Here is a 21605-nt window from a genome sequence, read left to right as displayed (position 1 = left end):
CAAGAGGTGGGACAAAGGAGGCTACACAGGAACAGATACTATGGTAGGTAGAAAACAAAGTGGTTTCCTCAAAGCAGAGAAGGAGGGCGTAGCAACTGTCCAATGCTAGTGTAGTCAAACGAGCAAGTAAGGTAAGGCCTAAGAACTCACCACGGGGCCTGGTGTGGTGGCTCACACCTGTAATCTCAGCATTGTGGGAGGCCGAGGTGGGCAGATCACCTGCGGTCAGGAGTTCGAGGCCAGCCTGGGCAACATGGTGAAACCCTGTCTCTACTAAAAATACAAAAAACATTTAGCCTGTAATCCCAGCTTCTCGGGAGGCTGAGGCAGGAGAATTGCTTGAACCCAGGAGGTAGAGGTTGCAGTGAGCCAAGATCACACCACTGCACTCCAGCCTGGGCAACAGAGTGAGAATCTGTCTCAAAAAACAAACAAACAAACCTGACAACTGAAGTTAGCAATTCACACTTACATGGTAAGCTGTTGGTGACCTTGACAATAGCTATGAAGGTAATGGTATGGAGAATGTTTGGTTGGAGTGGATTCAAGAGAGAATGAAGAGAAATGAAATTGAAGACAGCAAGTATAAACTACTCTTGAGGCACTTTGCTATAAATGGAAATCAAGAACTAAGGCAATAGCTGGAGAGGGAAGTGGAGTCCAGGGCAGGGAATTTAGGGATGGCTTTGCTCACCTGGAATACTTATCTCATCTCCCTATTTCCACCCTTGCCTTCCTTTTACTCTCTGATTTTTTACAGTCTATTTTCAACACAATAGCCATAGTATTTCTTCTAAAAGGTAGCTCAGATCATGACACTCCTTTGCTTAGAATCCTCTAATGGCTTCCATCTCACTTAGAACAAAAAATAAACTGCTTATGATGTTTTATGATCTGCTAACATACATGGTCTTCCCTCAACCCTTGCCCACCAACCACCTCAAAACACAGAAAAAAAACAGAGCCAGAGAGAGATGGATTTTTATTTTTTTAGTGATGGGGTCTCACTGGGCTGGAGTGCAGTGGCTATGCACAGGCATGATCATAGCATACGGAAGCTTCAAACTTCTGGGCTCCAGGGATCCTCCCATCTCAGCCTCCTGAATAGCTGGAACTATAGGTATGCATCATTGTGCCTGGCTAAGGGGTGGATTCTTGACTAAATCATTTAAGTTCCTGAATCCAGATGTATCTAAAATTATGTCCAGAGTGTCTACACTCCAGAACTTTTCGGTTTTATTAGCCAATAGTTCCTCCATTTTTTCTTAAGCCAGTTCGAGGTGGTTCTCTGTTCCACGTGACCATGGGAGTCTAGACTAAAAACTAAGGTATGAAAACAACCAAGATGGCCAAACAGCCATGCCAGCGCAAGCTTCTCAGAACAAACTGACAAAGTTACATTCCAAAAGAAAATGTCAGAAATAGGAAGTTTGAAATGAAGAGCACAGGACCACACCAGAGTACAGGACCAAGTCCTTCCTTCACACTACACACTGTCCCAGGGGCCATTTCATCTACTTTGGGAAATATAGTGATAATTCCTATGCTGAAAACTCCCACATCTACCTATCCAGTCTTAATCTCTCCCTTGAATTCAAGACTCCTGGACATCTCCCATTGGCACAACATGTCCCACAGGCACCTCAAACTCCGTAAGTCCCATAGTGAACTCCAACTCCCTCTCCTACCCCACAGGTCTGTTCAGCACCTAGAAGCATCGTTACACGTGTAAACATTTTCAAAGAACTGAACAGGCCAGAGGAAATTCAGACAGATTTCTTCGCACCACTGCTCTTTATGGTGTTTCAAAATAACACATTTGCTCTGTTGCAACAGCTATAAAACGTCAGAAATAGTTTAAACTTATTTATCTAACCTTAAAGACAGGCTATTTCCCCCAAGACTTGCAGCTCTGATATATTCAACATTCTGTTTCCACAATGCTGAAATTGTTTTGGAAGACAAATGTTGTGGAAAAAAGTTCAGAGCCGGAGGGGCTGTGAAACATGTGTTGCAAAAAGTTTGCACCTCGGGGGTGTCTTTAAACTAGTCAGTGTTTAAAAACAAATTTCCTTCATCCTTGAAAGGCCCATGAAATATTCCACACTATAAATCCCTGGCCTGTTCAGACTGCCCTGAAATGCTGGATCTTTAAATAAATATATATTATACCTATATTTTTTTCTCATGTTTGTTTCTTCCAGCTACTCAAAACTCACTCAGAATTCTGCATTACTTTTTCATATACGACAAATGAAGATTTAAGCTACCATCAGTTATCTCTGGGGAATCATGAAGAAATGATGTTGCCAATTTATAAAAGGCAAATCAAACACAGGATAGACAAAGGGAGTCATCACTAATAAATGAAAGAAAGAAATAAGAGTTCAAGGGTTCAGTGTCAGAGAAAGTATCTCAAAGCTACTAGAATAATGAATGCACTCTTCTTAACTGCAGGGCCAATCTGTGCAGCAGAGTAAATTTTGTAAGGAACGTTCCTCTTCTGAGTTAACTGCATACCCTTTTGTTCTTTTTGAAAAATACGTTATGTATGCTTTTTGGATACAATGGACTATCCATCATTGATGCCATATCCAGAACTGTCTCCAAATAGAGGGCTCTGGCTTTTACTATTTACAGAATTCTCTTGAATAGCTGTTTAAGTACTTTCTTTTCTCTAGTAAACTCATGTTTAGATTGACATAATCTGTTCCCCAATCAATTTGATTTCTGAGGATTTAGAAATCATCTGGGTCATAGTATCTATTCCCAACTCCATCATTAAAAGTCCTTCCCTAAAGGTTTTGAACTGTGTTTCTTCTGACATGGAGAAGAGTGTCAACAAGTCCTCTTCCTGGTGTGGTCATTCTCATCTCTCACGTACCCTGGGCTTCTGCTTTGCGCGAGCCTGGGCAGTTCTTTAACGCCACCAGACATATCTCATGAGCACCACACAGTTCACTGCTGGATATTGTCCTCCAGAGTCTTATTTATAGGCTAGAAAGTGCCAGTGAAAATTATTATATCAAAACCAAAAACCTTCAGTAGTTCCTTGAAGAAGAAAGTCAAGAGTTGGTGCAAATCAAGCATAGCGATACATGCTGGAGCTATGCAAGTGGTGTAAACTACTGATTCCAGTAAAGGGGATAGGAGGAACTCCTAAACAGCAGCTCAAAGGGAGAACCATGGACATTCCTGAGGCCCTTCCTGATAATCAGCAATTCTGGTAATCTATCAAGATAACATTGGGATATAGATGAACAAATAGCTATTAGCCAGTTAAAAATATTAGTTATTTGGAGATCATGCACCAAAATCTCCAAGTGGATTCCACTGCTATCACCAGCAAAACCCCAGAGGACTATGTGTGGGCTGCTGGTGTCTTGGGGTGACATCTCAAGGCCGTGTTGATTCCCCAGGACTCCATTTCCTCTTTCCTTAAACCACTAACTCTTGCCTTTGGTTCTTCTGAGCTGCACCTCTCACTCTATTTCTGGGGGGTCTTTTCTCCTCAGGAATGGTAGGGAGTAAGAGTCAGTTTTCTTAGCTCTATAGCCTTTCCTGTTCTTGGAGGAGAAAAGCACAAAAGCCTTTTCAATTTAGGGGAGTCACTGCTAAGAACAGCTATCCTCCAGCCCGGGAACTGCACTGTTCTCCAAACACACCACACTGGCTGTAAAGCTGTTCTATGTGCTGTTCTCGCCATTGCAGATCATTTGCTATTCCCTTTCACCACCTGGAACATTTCTCCTCATTCTTAAAGACGCATCTCAAAATCACTTCCTTGATCCTCTTGGACATTGACAGCTGATTTCTCCTGTGTGAACCTTTGAACACTGAGGCATCAATTGTTGGCATGCCTGATTCTACCTTCAGAATGAGCCCAGAGCATGGAGCTGGGTTCTACCATTTAGCCCCCGCTTTTAGTTCACTCCCAGTTACCCACTCCTGGTTCACTCCTAATTTGAGTTTACTCCTGTTTACTCACTCCTGGTTAATTCTAGTTTACTCCTGATTACTCACTCCTGGTTCACTCCTGGTTTACTCCTGGTTTACTCCTGGTTCTAGTTGACCTCTGGTTACCCACTAATTCCTGAGGAAGAGTCTCTCATTTTGAGAGGATATTTGAGATAATTTCCAGGGACCTCTTTGGCCCCATTTACTGGCTAAATCAGTGGTTCTTAACCTTGGCTGCACATTAGAATCTTCTGGCGAAGCTTTAAAAATCCTTGGTTCTCAGGACATACTGCCGATGAATTAAATCAGAATCTCTCAGGGCAGGGCTGGGGAGATGTTGTGGTGTCCAGGCCTGAACTGACATTAACCAAAATAATAAAATGACCTGACTGTAGTATGTGTCAGTCATCAAAATGAATAACTGGGTATTGAATTAATAACTAGGGGAAATAAATGAATGAAAAGAAAAAAAACAGGGTTATATAAGTTGGGATGTTACTAGAGAGGCCAAAATTCTACACAGGTCCTATGGGGCTCTTCCCATAAAGGAGTGTTTTTCTTCCATTAACAAGGTCCTGCATGGTTTTCTCAGACTGTACTCAGAAGCTTGCATGCTTTCTTATTTCCGGGGGTTGAATTCCAACAAAATTCCCTTTCCCTCAGTCCCCACCCTGTGTGGGTGCTGTGGGCCTCTCGGTCTTGCTGTGAAGGCATAGTTAGGTCATAGCAGCCGGAATGAACTAGTGGGTCATTCAGGGGCTTCTGACGGTTCCCTGTGTTTTATAATGGATGCTGTTCCATGCTGCACACTTGTCCTGTGCTCTCTGCTGCTGCCTGGGGGTCTCAGCACACAGAACCAAAAGCAGAGAGTCTTGGAGGGCAGAGAGCAAGCAAAGGCATTTCTTACAGTATAAGTAGATTTGAGTGGTATAGGGCATTCAAAACCCTTCACTTTTACTGCCTGGTATGAAAAGCTTCCCAATTGCTATCAAATCTCATACAGGTTTGGGAAACTCCGGACTAGCCACTCTGGCTCCTGCTCTGACACCAATACGAGGAGCCAAGGGAACACAGGCCAGCCAGGAGGCACCACTCAGAGACTCATGGAATTAAAGCAACTCATTTCTTTAGAAGCCTGGACTTCAGAAGATCACTGAGGAAAGAGCTTCTGTCCAAGAGCAGAGGAGGATACGAGGCTCCTGCCCTGTGGATTGTACAGGTGTTTAGTGCACCATCTCACAGGCTCAACAGGACTGATCCAGGGCCATTTTATTAATGTTAAAACTTAGGGGAGCTAAATGAGTCTTAATATCAGAAATATGGTAACCAAGAAAAAGTGGGAGGCCAGGCACCGTGGCTCCCACCTGTAATCTCAGTACTTTGGGAGGCTGAGGTAGGAGGGTTGCTTGAGCCTAGGAGTTCTAAACCAGCCTTGGCAGCACAGCGAGACCTCTGTCTCTACAAGAAAAAAAAAAATTAGTCAGATGTGGTGGTGCATGGCTGTAGTCTCAAGGGGCTAAGGCAGGAGGATCGCCTTAGCACAGGAGTTTGAGGCTGCAGTGAGCTATGATCATGCCACTGCATGGCACTGCAGTGGCACTCCAGCTTGGGCAAGAATGAAGCACTGTCTCTAAGCCAAAAAAAAAAAAAAAAAAAGAAAAGAAAAGAAAAGAAAGAAAAAAGAGAGATTATGGAGGTGAAATCTATTTGAAATCTTAAATAAGATATCATTATGGAGTGTTCATATGTTCTTTTGGCAGTAGGAATCTGCCATGGTCACAGGAATCCATGACTTTCAAACATTAGTATCAGAACAAGTTCTTTAAAATTTTTTTTATAAGAAAGTCCGATTCATAAAATTGCAAAGCATAGAGGTCTTTTGGTTGGGTTATATGTTGGGGGACGGGGAACAGGTAGGGTAGAAGGGGAAGGCTGGGTCCTTGACAAGGCTCCATGGAATCTATAGTCTGAAAACCATTGGTTTACCCATTGGTCTAATGATGGTGCATGGAAGAAAGGTGCATGGTTGTTTGGAGGATAGGGAATGGGTGGGCACACAATGTGGAACTACATGATGACAATATATGGGGCCTTTTGGGTCAGTCTGTTGTTACCATGTGATAGGTTAAACATTAACATGGGGCTGAGTGACTGTGGAGTTTTCAGGACAGAGAAATGTACTGGTGGCACTGAAGACAGGGATGGGGTATAGATTTTGGGGATGAAAGCAGTGTTGTTAACAATAGGACTGGACCATCAAGGCTGTACTTGAATGCTTCAAGACATGGCGACACTCAATACATGTAGACCCATAAGCCAAAGCACAAGGTTTTTTGCAATGAAGTCTGAAATTTGATAGGTGTTTGAAGAGCCCCTCCTGTTTTTTCGTATTGCATATCCAGCTAACTTATTCTAGATTTCTTTCTACTTCTTGATTGTATACAGGCCCATGTTTTCACCACATGAGAAACTGAGATTGATAAAAAATGCAAAGAAAATCATTTTTTCAAGAAGCACTCAAAATAGAGCTTCAGTGAATCTTTAAAGAGCAGATAATTGTTTTATAAATGAGTCTTTTTAATCTGCTAAATCAATAATCCAAATACAAGTCCAAAGAGATTTGGGGCAAATATATTAAGGGTGAGGTGAGGGAGTCCATAGTCACTACCAGACAGTGCATAATTTGCCACATTCTTTCCCACTGCTGCAGTGATGGCAGAAGCATGTGTCAAGGTCATGTGCCTGGTTGAGCACAATGGGCCAACCTTTGGCCTGATACTGGCTGGCATCTTGTGGCCCAGCAAGAGGCCAGGCTCCCAGTGTACTCTCCCTGGATCTCATACCATGGGGCAGTCCTCAGGTGAGGTTGAGCCCTGGAGGTTGAGCCTGTTGCCCACCCCTAAGCCAATGACACTCTGTCACCAGGCTGCAGCACTTCCTAGGTTCTGCCTCACACCTCGCTTTGACAGTCTTCTCTCTGGTCAGACCTCCTGCGTGGTGCCTATTCTGCTGTCTCAAACACAGTTTCATTCTCTGTCTAGCTCCTTTGGAGTCACACAGGATTGGGTTTAAATCTTGGTATACACACTCATTAGGTACATAAACAAAGACAAGTAACTGTGTGTATCTGAGTTTGCTTCCTTATCTGCAAAACAAATATAATATCCACTTTGTATGCTGTTGAAGCCAATACACATTAGGAGCTCAAGTTATTGTTATTTTTGATGATGAGCTTTGATGGTTTTCCAACATGTTATTTATTGACATGCTGCCTATTAGCACATACTCCTCAGCTCTTTGCAATATGGCTGCCCTCCATGCATGACTCTACTTGTCAACACCCTAGCCCTAGCCTCGGGACACCTGTGTCCCACACCCTCAATTAATGACGCATCCGTTGCTAAATGCCAGATATGTCTGCTGACTCCTGGATAAATCAGATACATGTAACGTCAGCTTAATATCTTGAGTGACTGGCAGGCTTTTTGGGGTCCAATAATCCAATCAATGACCATTGATGCAATTTAGTTGCGTTCAATTTACAGCTTTCTGCAGCTTCTTTCTCCTCTAATTTTTCATCCATTTTGAAATACAGATTGGTTCACACCATTACCCTGCTCAAAATGTTTCTTGTCTCCTCTTTGCCAATAAAATGAAGTCCATCGGTTTCAGCATGACATTAAAGCCCTTCACATTCTGGTCCACACTTACACTTCCAAACCTACCTCTTCCCACTCCCCTTCACATCCTCTGCTTTAAGTCACACAGATCTGCTTGTGATGTTGCAAGTAAGCAGGGTGCTTTCATGTTTCCGTGCTTTTGCATATATGCTGCTTTGATTAAAATGCCCTTCCTTTTTGTTACAAGTGGGCTGGTTGCAATTCATCTTTTTAATAAACCTTTTCTGACTCCTTAGTTAGAAGCCTTAATTAGTCTCTCCTTAATGTGTCTGATACACTTCACAAACACTTCTATTTTTGCATTATGACATCATATCATAATTCCTTTGTCTATATAGCTGCAGAAACCAGATTGTATTCATCTCTGCATGCTAAGGAACTAGACTGGGCTTAGTAAATGCTTAGTGAATGCTTGTTGAAGGGAAGAAAAGATGGATGGAATTTCCAACCATCTATGATTGGCTGTTTGACTGAATATAGGGTTAAGAGAGGATAGTGGGAAGATTTCTGTATCATAGACAGAGGAAGGAAAAAAGGGGAAGGGGAGCCTTTTTGAGTAGGGAAAGACATTTTAAATATACATTTCAAAATGACAATTTTAGCTATTTCAAAGATTGTATATGAGTTTTAAAAAGAGATAACAGTATAGAAGAGAGGATATATTTCAAAAACCACAGATCAGGGGAAATAAATTCACTGTAATTTAGAATATAGTCAAAAGCACCAAAATGTCCAGTTCATAAAACAAGAGCAAGCAGATAATCTTAGATTTCTTTTTAAGTCTTCTGAAAAGTATATGCAAAAACTGGTGGGTAAATACATTTTTCTGGAGAGATAGTTCTTTTTTTTTTTTGGCCAAAGGGATTTATGACTTAAAGACATATGAGAATCACTACCATTAAATTCCACCCTATATAATATAAACTAGCAGTTGATAGGGGAAAATAATTGTCAGAGCAATGAGACCATGTTTAGGAATTTAACCACATAATCCTGCTGCACCACAAATATTTTCTCAAGATCCTCCCCTGAAAGGGTAATTGTTAAACCCAGTAAAGAAAGTTAATAATTCGCCTAGACATCAATAAAATTCTTAGGTATATTCCACAGCATTTTATCCCTTAAAAAAAATCCCGATTAAGAAAATCCTTTTAAGTTTATGTGATATGTTTCTTCTGAAACTGACCATCCTCCCATAGATATCAAAGGGCCTCCTTGCCTCCACATACCTCTTGGAGCACCAAGTGCCCTGCTTTGACCCAGTGAGATGCTCACTTCCCATCATTTGTTTGTGCATGCACCGTGTGGAATTAATCAGGAAACTGTAACTTCTACCTACCTTTTCTCATTCTCTCCTATCAATGAGCAGCAACAATGACAGGGGGCGGGTAGGGTTTAAAAATACCCCGCTAGTAGATTCAGACTTCCTAGCTGGCAATTTGGCGATAATGTATTTAGAATTCTAGACATTTTAATTTTAATGCCCTATTTAGTTACAAAAATGTTGAATGTCCTGTGACCTAACAATTCCATTCCTGTTACTCTTTTTTAAAAAAATAATCCAAATGACACAAAAAGTTATATGCATAAGAAGGTTTCTTACACTGCTGTATGGAACTGTAAAGAAGTACAAATGGTTTAAGTTTCCAAAAACAAGAGAAGGGTTTATTTATGCTACATTCACACAATGATACACTGGTGTGGCTATTAAATGATATTTATGAATTTTTAATAACATGAGAAAATTCCATGACTTAGAGAAAGGGTTACAGGAATATAACAAAATAGAAATAATGGTTGTGTCTTTGACAGGATTATGGGAATTTTTTTTTGCCTCATGATACTTTGCTATGCTTTCCAAATATTTTATAATGAGATGTGTTACTTTTTATGAGACAAGAAAACACACAAAAGCAGCATTCAGAACAGAAAGGGCACTAGCTTCAGAGGCAGTAACTGGGTTCGGAACTTGGCCTTGCCATTGTCTAGGCCTGTTACTTTGGTCAAGCCTCTTCTCTGGGGACCTTGTGTGCAAAACAGGGCTGGACTCATGGATTCCTAAGGTCCTTCCATATTTAATTCTCAAGATTTTATTTCAGTAAGATCTTATCTAGTTATCTCAGGGAAAATCTCTTTCCCTGTTTATTCTTCATCCCTTTTTGGAGGCAAGAAGGGGCCTGATCAAGGCTGGGAAACACAGGGCTGTGGCTGGCATCCAGACATCTAGAAAGAGCTGTGCGTTCTGAGGCCATGAGGACATGAACAAGACCTGAGTCATTTCCATCTAAGGCTGTTCAAATCCCCTCAAAGTACCCTTTCTACTTACTTTCCCCCCAGTGAACTTGTTTTACCTTCAACATTAGCTTTTACGTAAGTAAGAGGCTTTTTCAAATTTATCAAATTCTGGTTTCATTGATTTACAGACTCTTTTATTATTTGATTCCTTTCTTTTTTTCCTTTTTTCGAAATGGAGTCTCGCTCTGTCGCCCAGGCTGGAGTGCAGTGGCACTATCTCGGCTCACTGCAACCTCCGCCTCTCGGGTTCAAGCAATTCTTGAACCTCAGCCTCCCGAGTAACTGGGATTACAGGCATGCACCACTATGCCCAGCTAATTTTTGTATTTTTAGTGGAGACACGGTTTTACCATGTTGGCCAGGCTGGTCAACCCCTGACCTCAGGTGATCCGCCCACCTTGGCTTCCCAAAGTGCTGGGATTACAGGTGTCAGCCTATTTAGTTCCTTTCTTTTTACTACAACTATAGTTTTCAAGTCATCATATAGGTAACTGGATTTTTCATGGGCTGATATTGCAGCTCCAAGAACTCCTTTGTAAAGGACATTGTGTCTACGTATTTTGAGAGAGTTTTTTTGTTTTTTTTTTTTCTTCCTAGATTCCCTCCCAATACTAGGTGAGGACTCTTGGCACTCAGTTCTAAGTCCTGACTGGCCAGGTATCTTAGTTCAAGCACTTTTTCTACATTTACTTTTATTTTGTCCCAGATTCCTGCAAAGGACCAATGGTCCAAGATAGAATTTCAGGACTGGAAACAGTCTTCCTGGTCATCCCATCATAATTCCTCATTTTATAACAGAAAACCAAGGAGCAAGGAAACTATGTGATAGGTCCAAGGTCTTACAGGAAACAGGGCTAGGAGGTGAACAACAACAACAACAAAACAATGTAACTGATAACCACATGTCAAAAAAAAGTCCATTCTCCAAAATTAATGGACATTAATAGTTGCTATATTTGCTTAAAAATTAATGGACATTAATATTTGCTATATTTGCTTCAGTTTTGTTTTGTTTTGTTTTGTTTTTTGAGACGGAGTCTTATTCTTGTTGCCCGGGCTGGAGAGCAATGGCACAATCTCAGCTCACTGCAGCCTCTGCCTCCCAGGTTCAAGCGATTCTCCTGCCTCAGCCTCCCAAGTAGCTGGGATTACAGGCATGTGCCACCACACCTGGCTAATTTTTTGTATTTTTAGTAGAGACAGGGTTTCATCATATTGGCCAGGCTGGTCTCAAACTTCTGACCTCAGGTGATCCACCTGCCTCGACTTCCCAAAGTGCTGGGATTACAGGTGTGAGCCACTGTGCCCAGCCGCTTCAGACCTTTTTTAAGCAATAAAGGATTACAGCTAGAGCTAAAGTTCTATCCCCAAACTTTTCTTCTTTTGTCTCCCAGGAGAACCAACAATCCTGACACTGGTATGTATCCTTCTCTCTCTCTGCTTTTACAAACAATGTTACAATGCACTCTTGAAACTCTCTTTGCAAAAACAGGGCTATATCCACAAGTGAAATGTCTGGTTTTGAGCATCTTTGACTTGATCAGATTTTACAAAATTGTTCTCTAAATTGGTTCATTACATATACACTGTGACCAGCAGTGTATGATGTCCTATTTCTCCATGCTCTTGCCAACCCTTGGTAGTGCCAACTTTTGCCCAATAGATATGAAATGGAATCTCACTTCTATTTTAATTTCCTTAGCAGTGAGGACATTTTCCCTACCAGTGTGGAAATGAGAACATTTTCATATGCCATTATTGGCTATTAGGGTTTCACTTTCTGACAATTGCCTGTTCATATCTTTTGCTCTTTTTTTTTTTTTTTTTTTTTTTTTTTGAGGCAGAGTCTCGCTCTGTTGCCCAGGCTGGAGTGCAGTGGTGCAATCTCTGCTCACTGCAACCTCCGCCTCCTGGGTTCACACCATTCTCCTGCCTCAGCCTCCCAAGTAGCTGGGACTACAGGCACCCACCACCACGCCCAGCTAATTTTTTGTATTTTTAGTAGAGACAGGGTTTCACCATGTTAGCCAGGATGGTCTCGATTTCCTGACCTCATGATCTGCCTGCCTCGGCCTCCCAAAGTGCTGGGATTACAGGCATGAGCCACCGCGCCCGGACTGCTCATTTTTATATTGAGTGGTTTATTTGTATTGATTCAGAGAAGCTATTTCTATATTCTGGTACTATATAACAAATATTTTCTGCCAGAAATGTGGCTTGACTTTTAAATTTATTGACAATGTCTTTCAGGGATCAGAACTTTTATATCTTAACAGCAAAGTGTGTCAATGTTTTTTATAACAGCTTATTGAAATATAATTAATAAACCAAAAAGTTCACCCTTTAAAAGTATAACTCTGTAGTTCTAATATATTCACAGAGTTGTGCAACCCCATCATCACTATACAATAGATGTTTTACTTTATGACTTGTATTTTTTGTATCTTTTCCATTCCAAAGTCATAAAGACATCTCTTATATTTTATGATTTTTAAAAATATGTTCATATTTTAGGCACTTAAATCAATTAGAATTTATTTTTGGTTGAGTTTTTTATATTTATAAACAATTATCCTATAACAATTTACTTACTAGTCTGTCCTTTATTGGTTTTTAATTCTACTGCTATTAAATTTTAGTTTCCATATACTGTATGCTTGAATCTGCTGTGGGCTCCGCATTCTGTTCCATTTATTTGTCTATCCCTCTTACACTGCTGTAAGCCCTCAAGCTTTATGCTAAGTCTTTATATTTGATAGAGCAAATCTCACCCACCTTGTTATTCTTAAAAAATGTTTGGGCTATTCTCAGCCATATGTGCTTTCATATTAATTATAGGATCAGTTTGTTCTAGCAATCCTACAGGATTGCTTTTTTTATTGAAATTATTCTGAATGTAGAGATCCAAAACTTTGTATATTTTCTTTGCTTTTAAATGGGGATAATTATATTATCTATAAATAAGAAGAAATTTTTGTAGTTATTTTCTAGTTTTTATATTTCTAGTTTTGTATAATTTTTCTAGTTATCTAGTCTTGGTTTCTAATTTTCTAGTTCTAATTTTTCTATTTATTTTATCTTATTGCACTGGCTAGTGCTAACGCAGTGTTGAACAGATATAGTGATAAAGGGCATCGTATGTTTTTTCCTGACTTTAATGGGACTGTTTGAGTCTCACCATTAAAGTGAGTATGATGCTTACAATAGGTTTCTGACAGGCAAATCAAGGTAGAGATTATCCCTTCTATTACTGGTTTGCCAAGAGGTTTTCATATCATTTTCGTGTTGAAGTTTATCAGATGCTTTGTCTACATCTATTAAGATGATCCTAAATTTTATCTCCTTAAATCTCTGTGGTAGAGATGGAGATGCTCCACCCAAATCAACCTTCAAGGAGGAACTCAGTGTCCCTGCTCCTGGTAGCCTCTGGTTGTTAGTCCCTTCACAATCTGTCTCCGCCGACCCAAGAGCACATATGCCCCTTCCAGAGAGGCCCACAGCCAGTGACTGCAGGAGGCAGGGGCATGAAGGCCTGGCCACTGTGGGTCAGCCTGGGACAACTCTAATAAGTCACATATGTTTCAAGGGGGCTTGGTGAGACTTTGTGGGCCTGCATCACAGTTCTCCTTTGCCCTCTGTCTAATCCTGCTTGCTTCCTCCCTTCCACATATGTTGACAACTAATATACTATACAAAAACTCCTTCCAGGGCCGGATGCCGTGGCTCATGCCTGTAATCCCAACACTTTGGGAGGCTGAGGTGGGTGGATTACTTGAGGTCAGGAGTTCGAGACCAGCCTGGGCAACATGGTGAAACCCCCGTCTCTACTAAAAATGCAAAAAAAAAAAAAAAAAATAGCCAGGCATGGTGGCTTGTACCTGTAATCCCAGCTATTTGGGAGGCTGAGGTAGGAGAATCGTTTGAACCTGGGAGGCAGAGATTGCAGTGAGCTGAGATTGCACCACTGCCCTCCAACCTGGGCAACAGAGTGAGGTTCTGTGTCAAAAAAAAAAAAAAAAAAAAAAAAAAAACGAAAAAACAAAAAAACAGAAACAAACCAACAAAAACATCCTTCCAGAGAGGATTCAACCTGTGATGATCTGTTTAAAGTAGATATTTTTAAGTGTTAAAAAATTTGCATTCCTGGGAAAAACTCTCCTTTAGTCATCCACATGACTAGATTCATTTGGGAATGTGTTAAACTTGATTTATTTGCTTCTGCATTTATTGTTTAAGAGTCTTTTGTATAACCTACATGTACCTAGCTGCCTGGTGGGATGTCAGGTGCCATCCACAGTTGTAGAATTTTTCCTCCTAAAGGAGATGTACACCAGTGTCCTCTAATAGCATTCAAAGATGTTTTTATTCTTTAGCTTAGTTTTAGTTTAGAAGCATCTCTAATCTTTCCAGGCAGTTTGAGTTTGCTCTAAGAAGCAGTTGTCCAGTGCACCTTGTGTTTAAGAAATTTTCTAAGCTTAGGGCTGGGCCATTGATGGCTTTGCCAGTGCCCTTCATTTGGGAATCACCATCTAGCTCAAACTCATTACCATCTGTGGGCCAAGAGAGTTCCTTACAGACTAAAGAGGAGCGTGACACACAACAAAACACTTTAGAGAAGGGACTCACGTCAGCTGCATCTCTGATGAGCTTAAGGAATAACATAAACAACATGTAATACACAACAGAAAATTACAGGATAAGTAATGTTCTTACTATGCATTAACCTGAAAGAAAATAAAACATGCAGCAACTGATATTTTCTGGTGATTTTCCCCAGATGAGCTTTTCTTTCTTACCAGAAGGTGGCAAAAAAGGTGCGCTTTAAATTACCCCCACCCAAATGGACAGAAAAAAACTTTTTTTTAAAGAGCAAGGCAAATAACTCTCGCAAGTTAGAAGTTTTAACCTTTAGAAATAGGCAAATATGTGGACTTTTAGGTTCTGTTATTCAATATAGTTAAAAGAAATATCTCTAAGAATGACTAGGGATAATCCCTATTGATATCCATACCACATGGGTTGACAAAACATGTTTGGCTATAAAAAAAGATGAACTTCTCTAGAAGCTATGAATATGTGTTATGGGGTCTATAAAAATAAGTTCATTACAATTAGTGGGAAATAGTCTAAGGCAACTAAACAAATAAAAAAATTATATATGCCACTGATTTACAGAAATCCCAATTTGCAATATAAAAATGTAATTTGTAAAGCAGAGTTCAATTTTGTAAATTATGTTTTAATGTACTCATCTATAAGATGAAAAACTGAATTGGATGATAACCACAGTCTCTTCTTCTATTAATATAATATATTCCCTGCTTTAGAGATGAGGGAAGAAAGATATATGACTCACCTATGGTTACATACTAGCTAGTGACAAGACTGTCTGTAAAACTCAAGTTTTCTGACCCTTCATCAACTTCACCATCTGTCTTAAAAAAGATGAATTTCCCTAGAAAACTCCATTAGGTATGGCTTCTGCCCATAAGAAAACACTGTAAGTTCACTACAGGTTTGTTTAAAATGGCAAATAACTCAAAATGATTGTGGTGCATTTGGAGGCAGGTTTATTTTTAAAAGGAAAGAACTCATCAGGAGTTCTGGGGTCTGAGTCCATGGGGGAAGACTGCCAGATAAAGAAAGGCCAAATGGGACAATTCCTAGTAAGAGCTGAAAGGTGAGGGAGGAAGGGGAGAGATGAGTACTCCCAGTGCTGAGCTCCATCTAGGCAGCAGTGCTGCAGACCCATGGCCCCACAGCACAGGGCAGGAGGGCTGTGGGGCTGGGGAGGGTCAGAGATAGCCCATGTCTGACTGGGCCTGGATGAGAATAAAACTAGATGAGTTTAATGGTCTTTGCTGGAGGCTTTACTTGCAGTTTCCACCCAATCCAGTCTTTGACTTCCGATAGCAAATAATGCACTCCAATCCTTTTAATGGCTCATCTCCCTGAAAGCCTGATTTTCAAGTATTGTGGAAGTGAAAAATTTAGAAGTCATGTTGAAAGCTGAGGTTTCTCTTAATAGAAGTCAGATCTATTTTTCAGAATCCTCTGCAGGTATAGGGCTGTAGAAACTTTAGACATCTGTGGCTTGGCATCTGCAGAGTTCCGTTCTGCTTTTCTCCTTGCTATGGCCAGAGAATGCCGGCCCTTTCTGTAATGGTGGGTGTATTTTGCCAGAAAACTCACATATTTGTGGGTGGAGTCAGTTGGGAGCCTGGAGCAATTTTTCAAAAGTCTGCATAGGCCAAACACTGCAGGGATTTCCAAGGGGTGAAAAACAATATCTTGGGGGTTAGCAAATTTCCACTGTTTGTAGAGCCAAAGGTGCAGCTTTGGAAACATGGCAAGTAACTGATCATGACAGTGGAGGGAGAGCCTGAAAGCTGGATAAGTGTGTCCTGGGATCCCTCATTACATGCACCCTCACTGCATTTCTAAGAGCAGCAGCAAAAGCTCCTCTGTCACCCTAGGCAATCAGGGTCACAGCCTAGGCAAGACTCATCTTAGGTGGCTGCAACTACAGGTATCTAATTAGAACTTGGAAGCTAGGGAAATCAAAGGCATACGCAAAGTCATCTTAAAAGAGTATATCTCAATTTGGAGGAGTTCATAAGTTTCTCTAAGGAAGCAATAAAACGCTATTCACAAAACCCCCTCACTCCCACCTCTCCTGGCCCCTGTAAAATGTACATGTATATGCAGCATATAATATTTATCTACAGTTCAGAGATGCATGGGCCCAGATGAAGACTTAAGAATCCATGGCTTAATGAGACAGGATGGCCCTAGATTAAGGCAAAGTCAGACTGAAAGTGTCAATTCTGTTAAAGAAAGAGTGTGAACATTAGAAAGGAGGTTTGTCTGCAGTTGTAAACACGGGAGAAAGAGCCACTGAGGAACAGGCTGCTGACACTTACCCAGGGACAATCCAGAAGAGAGCCTAGGCCAGGGGACATTCTAGCTCCCCGATCTGGCTTTGCCAAGTGTAGCTTTTGTCTATCTAGAGGACATGTCTTACAATTTCCCACAAATCCCCTCCTCTGACTTTGTATTCACCAAGTAACCCTCTGACTAAAAGTTGGCCTCTTTTGTAGATCTACCCATAGGGACAGAGTGTTCTGGTCTTGCCAATATGAACATTCCAGTGTGCATGGCAGTCACAGTCCACACTGGAAACAAGTAACTTGGCATTCTGTTTTATACATCGGTCTCATGAGCCAGTATGACCTCACCCTTGAGAGTTAGATCCACTGTCAGTGTGCTGGAAAATCTTTTTTTTAAGCCTATCAGGCTGAGGTCTCGAATACCAAAATGCCAGCTGGTGTTTCCTGGCAACACTGGGATGGCCACACTTACCTCCCACTGAAATGGCCTCCCACTGAAATGACCACACTTACCTTTTACAGGACATCGGATTGTCACGTTTGCTCCAAGGGCTGCCTCCACGATGCCTCCAACCACAACAGACAGATGGTTGTGCTCTGGTTTGGTGATATTTCTTTCAACAGACAAGATGACAGGTGCCTCTTAATTCAAAGGGAGCAGGAAACTATGTTAGGTTCAGGCTTTTGCTCTTTGGTAAAACATATTGCATTTGGTAAGCTTTGTTGAGCCCTTTGAGGGCAGGAGTGGAGTCCTGGTTCTCTCTGTATCCCTCAAGGTGCACCGTGGGGATGTGCACATACATACCTGGAGGTGCTCAGTGGACATACGGACAGATGGATGAATGGATAGATGGTTCGATGAATTCAAAGGTACATTGCAACAACAGTATGTATAGACTATGAGGATATTTTGGTTTTATAACTAAAATTGAGGATAAATTCCTCTTTGATAATTTGAAAAAAAAAGGAATTCAGAAGCTCATAAGAAGCAAAGAAGACAGGCAGAGCAGGAATGATGTCTCTGCAGTGCAGCCATGAATGAATTAATGTAGGGCCAAAACACACTGGGGCTTGGGACTACCTGACTCTTTTTCTGGAAGGAGGGATGTGAGATACTGGGGGAGGGGGTTGATGAAGACAGGACAGAAGGTCCTGATCCATTCTGTTGTCCCTCATTGGGCCCAGCGTAATAAGAGGTTTTTTCCAATGTAAACATTTACCAAGTGTCCACTCTGTGGTCTGCACCTGGGTACAAGATGAGAAATACCTGGGTACAAGATGAGAAGTATCTCCTCTTTCGATAAGCACAAGGTGTAGGGGTGCAGAAGGAGATGTACACAGGCATTTTCAATATAAATGTGGTACCTAATCCTTATAAAGTTTTTCTGAATATGGTGCCACAGCCAGGCTGACATGTGGATGCCAGGATGTAACCACGGTTCAGAGCTCATTCAAAGCTGTACTGGAGAAAGATGAGACAGGTAGGAGGCCACGATTCTTGTTGAGCCTCTTCTAATAAGCTATATGTGTGCTTGGGCAAAATCTTCCCTCTCTGGACTTCAGTTTGAATCCCATTAAAAAAATGATTGGGTTAGAAGATCTCTTCCAACTGCAGTTCCCTCACCCAATGTGTGGTTCAGAGAGGCCCTGTCTGACCCTACTTAAATAAACTCATTTCAATCTAAAATAGAAAAGACTATTTAAAGACCATCAATTGCAAGGAGACCTATTTAAAACATTATTTACATCTCTACACTGCAGAAAGTCTCAAGAGAGAAAATGTCTGACTTCCCACTTTATGAGACCATATGAGGTTATTACAAGTGGAGCAGAACTGTCTGCAAGAAAAATGCAAAGTTAACGTTTAATTAATACGAAGCAAATACATGTATAAAATTTGCATGCAAAAATAATACAAACAAGGTCATAAAGAATCAAACGTCCATTTTAAAATGTTTATTTTCTTTGGATTTTGATATTTAGTTGCCAGATTAATTTATTCACTCACTCAGGAAGCATACTTTGTGCCTGAGCTGGACAATGGCAGTACTAAGTATTAAAAATGTTTCTTTATAATAAAAGCATATTTTAATATCCAAATGACATTGTCCACCTCCCAAGAAGACTCACACTACTTTATAGTTACAACTTCCTGGAGGTGTTTCTCAGGATTGGCAGGTATGCCACTGGGAGGTAATTGCAATCTATAAAAGATAATTATTCTTTTTTGTTGACTGATGGAACTTTAAAAAATGCAAAGTTCATTAATATCAACACTGCCAGTTAAACTCCATCTCATTATTTCCTGATTCTTAGAAAGTGAGTTCCTGAGCAGCTGTTTTCAGTGTGGTCCTCAGACCGGCAGCATTGGCATAACCTGGGCACATGTTGAAAATGCTGATTCTCAGACTCCAACCCAAACCTACTAAGCCAGAACTTCTAGGGGTGGAGTCCAGCAATCTGTATTTTAACAAGCACTCCAGATGATTCTGACAGCTGCTAATGAGAACTGCTGCTCTAGAATTTAATGTTAAAAACAAATAAACAGCCAGGCGCGGTGGCTCACGCCTGTAATCCCAGCACTCTGGGAGGCCAAGGCGGGTGGATCACGAGGTCAGGAGATCGAGACCATCCTGGCTAACATGGTGAAACCCCGTCTCTACTAAAAATACAAAAAATTAGCCGGGCGTGGTGGCGGGCGCCTGTAGTCCCCAGCTACTCGGGAGGCTGAGGCTGGAGAATGGCGTGAACCCGGGAGGCGGAGCTTACAGTGAGCCGAGATCACGCCACTGCACTCCAGCCTGGGCGACAGAGCGAGACTCTGTCTCAAAAAAAAAAAATAAATAAATAAATAAATAAAAATAAAAAATAAAGAACCAGGCATTCTAGATTTCAACAGTGGGCATTACCTGCATACAGCACAGAAGAACTTTCCACATCTGAACCAAGATGATTAGCTACAGAACATTCATATATGCCTTGTTCTTTCCTTGTAGGATTCTGTATCTGTATCTTCCCAGTTCCATCCAAAATTATTCTGTAGAACAGTTAGAAAGACGACACATTCATATAACAATTTAACTGACCTAGGGCTACAGTGAGTTGCAGAGAAAGAAGACTGCACCATTACAGGCTTTGGGCTGGCAAAGCTCACAAAGGATAATTTTGTCCAGCATCCTGCCTATAAGCAGAGAACTATATAGACCAGGAGGGTGGAGTGTTTCCTCTTGCTATAGGTTAACAGCAACGTTAGAGCTCAACAGTGCTTAGAGATCCAGTCTTCCCATCCCACTTTACATGAGAAAAGACTTTTCTGGTGAACTCAATGCTTAATCTGCCACATTTTAAAAAAAGACAACCTAGCAAACCTATTCATTTGCTGGATGTTAAACACTCCTTTTCTGCCCGAATCCTTCCTAACAAACTGCAGGTGTGGATTTTCTGTTTGGATTTTCATGCTGGAGGTGATTGGGCTTTGGCTAAGGCTGCTTTGCAATGGATTATGGTCTCATTATTCCTGTATGAAGAAGTCGATTGAGGTCATCATGCTAAGTCTGTGGCATACACTGGATTTGGACCATGCTGTTAAGAATTAGGGCTAACCTGCATGAGTTCATTATGGTTTCCCAATTACTGATATTCCTAAAATCCTGTGTGTAAATACCGCTTTGAGAATCAGAGTTGGTCAGGTGTAGCCTAACCAATTAGATAATAATTCAGAGATTCAGAAAATATATCTAAAGGTGAGAAGAACCTTTGTTAGGAAGGGAAGAGTGCTTGTTCTTTTATTTTATTTTATTCTTAATAATTTGAATCTGCTTCTAAATCACCCGGATCAGTGGTTTATATACTATTTTTCCCCTGCCCCATCTCACTTCATAGATCTTAGCAATATGGACTATTCTGCCCTCTAAATACTGTATGTTTCATCATGAAATGAACTGTGCCACTTCTTTATTTCCTGTCACTTCATGTCGTTCGCTCTATGCTTCAGTCATAATGAACCTTAACTGTTTCCAGAACATTCCATGATCTTTCATTACTGTGAGCTTTTGCATATGTTGTTCACTTCATTTGAAATGCCCTTCCTCCTTTCTGGCAAACTCAGACCCGCCCACTGAGTCCTGGATCAAATGTAATTTCCCCTGTAAAGTTTTCCCCAATACTCCTAGAGTTATCTTCTGTCTCCTCTGGGCTCCTTCTTCTCTGGTTCATATATTTATTTGATGAAATATCTATTTCTTCCCACTAGACTGTGATCTTTTCAAGGGCAGGAACCAAATCTTATTCACAGCTGTGCATACTCACTGCTTAGACTTTTATATAGCAAGTTCTCAAAAATCTTTGATGACTAAATGTATGAATGATTAGAATAGTATGAAATAATGGCACAGAGCAATAGTACCAAGAGCATACAAGCCCTGCTGCAGCACACATAAGAAATATACAAAAGCTGGCAGAAGTCAAAACAGCGAAAGTGTCTCAGAGCAACAAGAGTATGGCAGACCTCGCTGTTAGTAAGGCAAGATTTTCAGTGTCAAATCCTGATGGAGGAGAAATAGTTGGTTAAAAGCAAAAGTCTAACCAGTGACTACACATGAAAAATAAACATATTAAATCATTTTCTTAAATTATTTCATATATATGTTTGCATGATTTAGGAATTCTCAAATAATGCCTTTGTTTTGTAGGTTTCAGGTAACAGTCCAGTGAGAAATCATTGAGATCAGAAATAGCTGAGCATGCGTGAACCTTACATGACAGGTGGGGCCACTGGGTACCT

At 40.9% G+C, this 21605-nt stretch overlaps 1 protein-coding gene across 10 annotated transcripts in view, besides 2 other annotated features; it reads right to left on the bottom strand.

The window, feature by feature from the left end:
- The window catches only part of ADAMTSL3 (ADAMTS like 3), a 385720-nt gene that overhangs the window by 31293 nt on the left and 332822 nt on the right, over positions 1-21605 (bottom strand). For all 10 annotated transcript variants that reach the window (XM_011521823.3, XM_017022434.2, XM_011521822.3 and 7 more), the window contains 2 exons: positions 19732-19859; positions 17336-17464 (listed from right to left, as the gene is read on the bottom strand). In XM_011521823.3, the coding sequence (XP_011520125.1) occupies positions 17336-17464; positions 19732-19859 (257 nt within the window). The remainder of the gene's footprint in view (positions 1-17335; positions 17465-19731; positions 19860-21605) is intronic.
- Positions 15667-15936: an enhancer, noted in NCBI's record as "active region_9980". NCBI's record gives its function as "activates an Ori minimal core promoter by ATAC-STARR-seq in GM12878 lymphoblastoid cells {active_cell/tissue: GM12878}" and the evidence as "EXISTENCE:reporter gene assay evidence [ECO:0000049][PMID:35858748]".
- Positions 16167-16216: an enhancer, noted in NCBI's record as "active region_9979". NCBI's record gives its function as "activates an Ori minimal core promoter by ATAC-STARR-seq in GM12878 lymphoblastoid cells {active_cell/tissue: GM12878}" and the evidence as "EXISTENCE:reporter gene assay evidence [ECO:0000049][PMID:35858748]".

This window comes from Homo sapiens, chromosome 15 (genome assembly GCF_000001405.40).
Source record: "Homo sapiens chromosome 15, GRCh38.p14 Primary Assembly".
In the NCBI taxonomy this organism is placed as follows: Eukaryota; Metazoa; Chordata; class Mammalia; order Primates; family Hominidae; genus Homo; species Homo sapiens.
This window is presented reverse-complemented; position numbering and strand designations above follow the sequence as displayed.